The sequence below is a fragment of the Homo sapiens genome, chromosome 11, assembly GCF_000001405.40.
Source record: "Homo sapiens chromosome 11, GRCh38.p14 Primary Assembly".
Taxonomy (NCBI): domain Eukaryota; kingdom Metazoa; phylum Chordata; class Mammalia; order Primates; family Hominidae; genus Homo; species Homo sapiens.
In genome coordinates this window covers 134,728,556-134,735,831 of record NC_000011.10, presented here as the reverse complement: position 1 = coordinate 134,735,831, position 7,276 = coordinate 134,728,556, and the positions used below count along the sequence as shown (strand labels likewise).

The window sequence follows — 7,276 nt, the reverse complement described above, 5'->3', positions numbered from 1 at the left end:
TGCCCACGAACCCCAGCTCTGCGTCGCTCACCACTCTGCCCACGAACCCCAGTTCTCCGTCGCTCACCACTCTGCCCATGAACCCCAGCTCTGCGTCGCTCACCACTCTGCTCACGAACCCCAGTTCTCCGTCACTCACCACTCTGCCCACGAACCCCAGTTCTCCGTCGCTCACCACTCTGCCCACGAACCCCAGTTCTCCGTCGCTCACCACTCTGCCCACGAACCCCAGTTCTCCGTCGCTCACCACTCTGCCCATGAACCCCAGCTCTCCGTCGCTCACCACTCTGCTCACGAACCCCAGTTCTCCGTCGCTCACCACTCTGCCCACGAACCCCAGCTCTGCGTCGCTCACCACTCTGCCCACGAACCCCAGCTCTCCGTCGCTCACCACTCTGCCCACGAACCCCAGTTCTCCGTCGCTCACCACTCTGCCCATGAACCCCAGCTCTCCGTCGCTCACCACTCTGCCCACGAACCCCAGTTCTCCGTCGCTCACCACTCTGCCCATGAACCCCAGCTCTGCGTCGCTCACCACTCTGCCCACGAACCCCAGTTCTCCGTCGCTCACCACTCTGCCCACGAACCCCAGTTCTCCGTCGCTCACCACTCTGCCCACGAACCCCAGTTCTCCATCGCTGCGGAGATGCTTTGGAGCCACCGCTGGGGGGCCCTCTCCAGCCCACCCCAGCCTCCTGACACAGTCTCCCCCGAAGACTCAGCTTCAGTCCTCCCCACAGAAAACTCAGAAACAGGAAATGAATAAAGGACCACAGGCTTGGCTGATTGGCAGAAGACAATGGAGGAGCTAGTGTTTGACAAAACAGTAACGACACCTCTGATGGCAGAGCCGCGCAGTTAGCATCTTCTTCCCAAATACAGCAAATTACCCAGCAAGGGCAGGAAGCTTTGGCAGAATTAATCACTACCTGGAAAACAATTTCACACTAGAATAAACAGGAGAGAGAGGGAATAACAAATGCATTGCATTGTCCAGTTGTTAACCTGGGCCTTGATATATATTAAAAAACAAGGCAATTACTTCCAGCAATGACAGAAACTCATCTTGTTTAGCAAAATAAGATAAAGAAGTCTGGGGGTGGAGAGCCAGCGATCTGAGCGAAGACATCCTGAGATGATAAATATCTCATGTCAAGCCCGCACTCAGCCGCAGGCTTCTTGGAACAGAGGCAGCCAGCTCCGTTCCATCTGAGGGAGCAGAGGAAGGAGGAAAGGCACAGAACATTGGAAAGGGAGCGGGCGTCAGCTACCAAGGAGTTGTTATAAAATATAGAAGCAAAACATTAAAAATGCACTGTTATTTTTCAATAAAACCATCCCATGTCTTTGCAGAAGGGTTTAGTTCCTGCATTCACACTCTGTGTGGTGTCTGGGAAAGGTACTTGACTTTCTGTGCAGAACCATAACGGGAGACAGGAAGATGAGTTTTTTTCCCAAGACAAAGCTAGGTTGTTTTTCTTTGCTGTCTGCTGGACAGCTGGGCTTTCTGAATTGATAGCAAGTCACTCAAGAGGCATTTGAAAGAAAACACTTTAATCCTAAGTGAAAGAAGGGTTTTCGTGTGTACAGTTCATGGTTCAAATAAGTAGAAACCACTTTACTTTTGATTCCCAGGTTGTATGTACCAGACAGACTGCACTTTCTGGAGTCTGACACCAGAACTTGTGCAGGAGGTGATCAGATTATATTCTGGGCAGTGGAGGCTTTTTGTAGTCGACCAGAATTGCTTTTTCTGTGTAAAATGATGGTTGCAGTGCTTCCTGGAGTATAGATAATGTCCTTGAAAACCACTTAAGTTGCCCTTACAAACTTCAGAGTCTGTAATTCTCTCATGCCCTGTAATGCATGACCCTCGTTGGTTTCCTTCCTGGGATCTGTGAGAAGAGTGTGATGTGCATCAGGTTACCGCCGGGCATCTGAGCGGGCCTGGGTTGGCTGCCTTTAATACAGCCACCAGGACGTGTCAGGAGTGTGATGTGCATCAGGTGAGTGGGCCTGGCTCTGCCTTTAATCAGCCACCACGACATGCCAGATGTGCTTCAGCATCACTCCCACGACTGACCTCATTCACACATGGAAATTTACAAGGAAAAGTTTTGTTGTGGACGTATCCAAAGAAAACGTGTCTATGCAGATGTAGTGGCAGAAGGGTGTGATGCCTTTACTCACTCATCCTAAGGCTCACAGCTGACACTCCTACAACAGAAGACAGGCTGACGAGAGAAAAGCATAACAGATTTACTTAAAGTTTCATATAATACAGGTGCCTTGAGAAATGAAGATCTGAAGCTGCAGGGGAACCATCTGTTTGTATCCTTAGGTTCCATGAAGAATGGACACTGTGGAGAAATGTGCTTGGACAAAGGGGGATGGTCTGTGGTGCTACACGGAGGCCTCCAAGGCCTGTCTGTGTGGCTTCTTCTTGGCTTTTCTGCATAGCATTTCGGCCTCCTGGGTATGGGCAGGACCCCTCTGGAATGAGGGCTCTCAAGGGAGAAGGGAGAGAGTGAACTTTGTAACCAAAAATAAAATTCTGAGACCCCACCGACTGTATAGACCCTCCTCTTGGCTTAGCGGACCTCCAAGAAACCTGAAAAGCTAGTTCAGGATGTAACCAGAAGAGGGGATCAGACACGCCTCGCTATCCCCTCTTCCCTTTGGAGTTTAGACACAACTGATCGGCACTAACACAAAAACAGAGATCTGAAGACAGACAAGCAGACTCTTTGTAGCCATGAGATTCCAAATTCTAGCCTGACTCTGGTATAGCATCATATGACACATAGCAGGCCCTGGAAGAAGTCAAAGTATTTTATCCCAAAATACATTTATTTGACATATGTCGAAGATGTTGAAGCGGTTCTGCAAAGCTGTCTCTTGTGGGGTAAATCTACATTCTATAGAGAGTCTCCTTCCCTTACTAGGTCTTTCCAGAGAGTCTGACACCTTTTGAGGTGTGATAAGAGACCTTCCACATCTATTCTCTCTGAAGCCTGCTACCTGGAGGCTTCAACTATAAGACAAGAACCTTGTCTTCCACAACCCCCTTATGTAAACTTAAGCATTTCTTTATGCTGAGTTTCACTCTCCAAGCAGGACTTAACTCTTTCAAACAGCTACCAATCAGCACATCTTTGAACCCCCCTTGACCTGGAAGCCCCCTTCTTCGAGCTGTCCTGCCTCTCTGGGCTTGCCAATGTACATCATACAAGTATTGATTTATATCTTGGCCTGGAACTTCTGTCTCCCCAAAATGTAGAAAACCAAGCTATCACCAGACCACCTTGGGCACACGTTCTTCTGAGGCTGTGTCATGGCCCATGGCATGTGTACCCGAGGTGGTTGGACAAAACAAACCTCTAAGTGGATGCGGACCTGTCTCAGATACCTTTTGGTTTACACTTGTCTATTGTCTACGTAAAGAAGGAAACTGTGGCAAATTTAATGCAGAGAGTTTATTTGGGCCAAGGTTGAGCACTTCACAGTCCGGGACACACTGTGAAGTGCTCAGGGAACAAAGGAGAGGCTCAAATTTTTAAAGAAAAAAGGATGAATCAGGAAAGGGGGTGATTACACAAGTTGTTGGTCAGGAATTCTAATTGGCTTGCAGAAATGACATTGATTAGTTATTGGTTATATATTGTTGAATGACAGGATGTGAGTTATGGTGTCCAGTGTAGGATGGCCATTCTTGTTAGATTAATTTATAGCTACTGGTGGCAACACTCAGTCCTGAGTCCACACACCAGGTGGCTTTGAAATGATTACTTACCTCAAGGTGCCTGCGGCATGACTCCTCTCTCATTTTAACACCTCCCAAGGCCTGATAATTTCTCATGTTCCTCAGATTGAAACTTTATTTTCTTTCTCACTAGGTTTCAGGGCTCGCTTTGTGGGAGAGGAGGTCCTTGCTTCCATGGCTGCCATGGGGAAGAGGATTCTGGCTTCTGTGACTCACGTCAGCAGGGAACGGGTCTGAGGCAGAGGCACTCAGAGCTCGGCTTCTGAAGCCTGCCAGGCTCCTTTAGCTCCAGTGCTCAGCATGCCGGAGCCCCACACTGTGGGCTATTGTTCTCCAGGTTATTTCTTTGTTAAGCTACATGCTGAGTCGTCTAGGCGCAAAGCCTCTGCCCCTCCTCCCCAAGGTATGTGCAGCACCATGCAGGCACATCATCAATGGTTATTAAATAAATGAATACATACCTTTTATTCTTTGCAAGAAAAGTCTTCTGTTTCTTTGTCCTGGCTCTTACCCATCTCTCCAGGCTTTTCTAGCCCCAGAGCCGACAGTCCAGCAGGAGATGACAAACACAGTCAACTTTTGGCCAAAGATTCTAAACCATGGAAAAGGGCCAGCTGGGGACTGGTCTTGTGAAGTGCATGGATTTGGGCTTTTATTAAGGCCAAGGAAAGACCAGTTTCCTCCTAGGAACAGGATAAAACTGAGCAAGGAGAGGTTTGGCTGGGGCTGGCAGAGCAGCAGGTGCTGTCCACTGGAAGCCTGTGTGCAATTCAAAGAGATGAGAGAAGCCAGACCCCAGGGAGGAGATCTCAGCTGGGAAACTCAAGGGCAAGGATGCTCTCAAAGATAACGGCTGCATTGTTTCCAAATTTTCAAAAAACTCTGTTAAATGTTCTATAAACCTCATTAGCCTTACAAATCATGAGCCTTTAGCCATGCAGACATAAGAGACTTTTAGATATGCACGTCTCTGGCTGACCCAGGAAACCCTACCTTAAAATGACTAAAGAAACTGCTAAGAGGTAGCTCAGCACAGCCCCAGACTGAGACAGGCTCCTGTGAGGCATTCAGGAGAGGGGCAGCCACCAGGAGGGCCTGCCTCTTGTTTAGGCTGAGAGGGCAGAACTCTGTGCTGTGAATTGAGGAAGCTGGGAAATATTTTTTCAATTAAATATTTCAGCTGTCAGCCTGCCAGAATACCTGAAATTCCTCATAAGAATCCATATTTGGATTTCATACCTTCCCTCCCATGTGTCTGCTACCCTCAGGGCCATATATTCCAGAAGCCGCCCTGCACCTTTGGAACTTGCCTTGTGAGTTAATGCTTTCATTTTCCCCAGCATTGGACAGCAAGCCAAAAGCAGTATCCTGCTGGAATGGAAAATGAAGGAAACATACCTTACCGTTGGGAGAAACCCAGTAAAGATAAAACAGGGGCACAACCCGGAAATCCAGACCCTGGGAAAGCGAAAGCCCCTGGGCACCCAGCACACCTGGAAAGAGGTTGTGAAAGCACCAAGGGGAGAGAAAGCACGAAGGGGCGACGGGGGCTCCCAAGAACTTCCCCAGGCCCCAGCCCTCTGTTCTCACTGTCTGCCCCTCTCGCACCACTCACAGGTGCTCCTGGGTGAAGCTGCAGGCTCCAAGGCCTCATCTGAGTCCCTTTTAACTGGGCCTTTTGCAAGTCACACGGCTCCAAGACTGTTAAAATGCCTATCAAGTAAAGATCAGCAAGCATGAATTATGATGCAATGAAGGCAGCTGACACCTACGAAACCAAGGTGTGCTTGAGCTGGTGGAGAGTCCTGGGGCTGCAAATCCAGGAACCGCCCTGCCTTATGAGCTGGAAACACTGTGTTTGCACAAGCAACATGGAGAAGGGCTCTGGGCCCTGCTGATGGCTGAATAGGGGATGAAAATGAAGGATTCTTCCTTTTCCATGAACCTGTGTTCAACCATGAACCTGTGTTCAAAGGGCCAGTCCACCTGCGGCCACCTCTGAAGGAGGCATAGCCCAAATGCACACACCCTGGAGAGGAGTGGCTCATTCAAGGTCAAGACAAATGTGGGTGGCAGAGCCCCAACAAAGGTTCTTAGCCAGTGACATCCAGCTGCTGATGGAGGCCCTCTCCAGAATCAAGGGTATGGTCCTACTGCAGAGCCCTGGCCTCCTCTGCACCCTACATGTGCCTCAACATCCCAGAGTTCATCCGTCACTGAATTCTAGTCCCAGTGTGCATGTCCAGCCTAGAGCTTCGCCTCTCCTGAGACAGCCTCGCCTGCCCCTCCATCTGCCTGTAAGCTCCCTAGAGCAGGAGAAGCCACTTATAATTTTAATGGGGTATGCACATTCAGATATTAGAGGCCACTAATTTATTGGGGTTCCAGGATGAGAGACCCAGGAAATCATTGCTGTTTGGTTCTATGAGGCCCTTTAGCATAACCCCAGAGAGAGCCTCAGCGACATCATTCGGTGTGGGTGAATCTGCCTCTCCTTCCTGCCCACTCCCGGCAGGAGGTCCCTGTGTGTTTTGCTTCCATTCAGCACTCCCTGTGCCTCACCGCACACAGGCAGGCCTCACCTCCTCTTGGTCACCATGGCCTGCTTCTCATATCTTTGGGCTCAGTACCAACCGTGTGATGGAGTGTGGCCCATCTCCTGCAGGTGCTGGCGGATCACAGGAGGTTCCAGGCCCACTGTGCATGGCCCCTGCACCTGCTCCTCAGTCCTCTGCACCTAAATTTTCTTGTTTTCTCCATATCAGAAAGTGGGTCTTGCTACACCAGGTAATCTGAGGCTCCGCCCAGCACTTGCTGTCACTTGCTTTAAGACAGTCACACGATGAGTGGGAAGCCCTCTGAAGTTTCCATGACAGGCAGCGTTCACCATGGTCCCCGAGACCCAGCACGGGAACCAGAATTCTGGTCTGGAGGAGACAGAGTTGTGTAGCCAGAAAGCAGCCTGGGAATCAGAACCAAAGAAAAATATCTCAAAATAAAGAGGAGAAGTCCTGGGCGGGGTGGGGGCGGGGGCGCTGCGTAACAGGAGAGCCCGGTGCGTGGAAGCCCAGAGTGCCGTTGTCCCTGCCCACACAGGCAGCTCACAGAGCACCGGGTCATGCAATGTGACCCACGGCTGGCCAAGGCCACGGGCCCCTCAGGCCAGGCAGGGGACACTGAGAGGCCTGGGAGTTTATCAGGAACCGTGATCTGGAGTAGCTTGCAGGAGACCAACCCATTTAGATGAAGACGATGCTTCAGCTCATATTTCCCAAAAAGCAGAGTCCGAGGCCAGGGCTTACACGCTGTTGCCTTACTAAGGAGCACAGTCTTCAGATGAGGGAAGTGAAGTGGGCAGGAGCAGGGCCACACACACGTGTCATGGAGCTGACCGGTGGATGTTATGACTTAAGTGTACCCGGGACCATCCCTGACACGCCATACAAACGTCACCTCAAGACCATGTCTCAGCTGGGAAAAGGTGAGACTGTATCCCCCTTCTGTCTCCCTCAA

The 7,276-nt window shown here is 50.3% G+C and overlaps 1 annotated feature.

The window, feature by feature from the left end:
• Positions 5,840-6,456: an enhancer, noted in NCBI's record as "H3K4me1 hESC enhancer chr11:134599270-134599886 (GRCh37/hg19 assembly coordinates)". NCBI's record gives its function as "activates a minimal SCP1, AML or CMV promoter by ChIP-STARR-seq in primed H9 embryonic stem cells {active_cell/tissue: H9 hESC(primed)}" and the evidence as "EXISTENCE:reporter gene assay evidence [ECO:0000049][PMID:30033119]".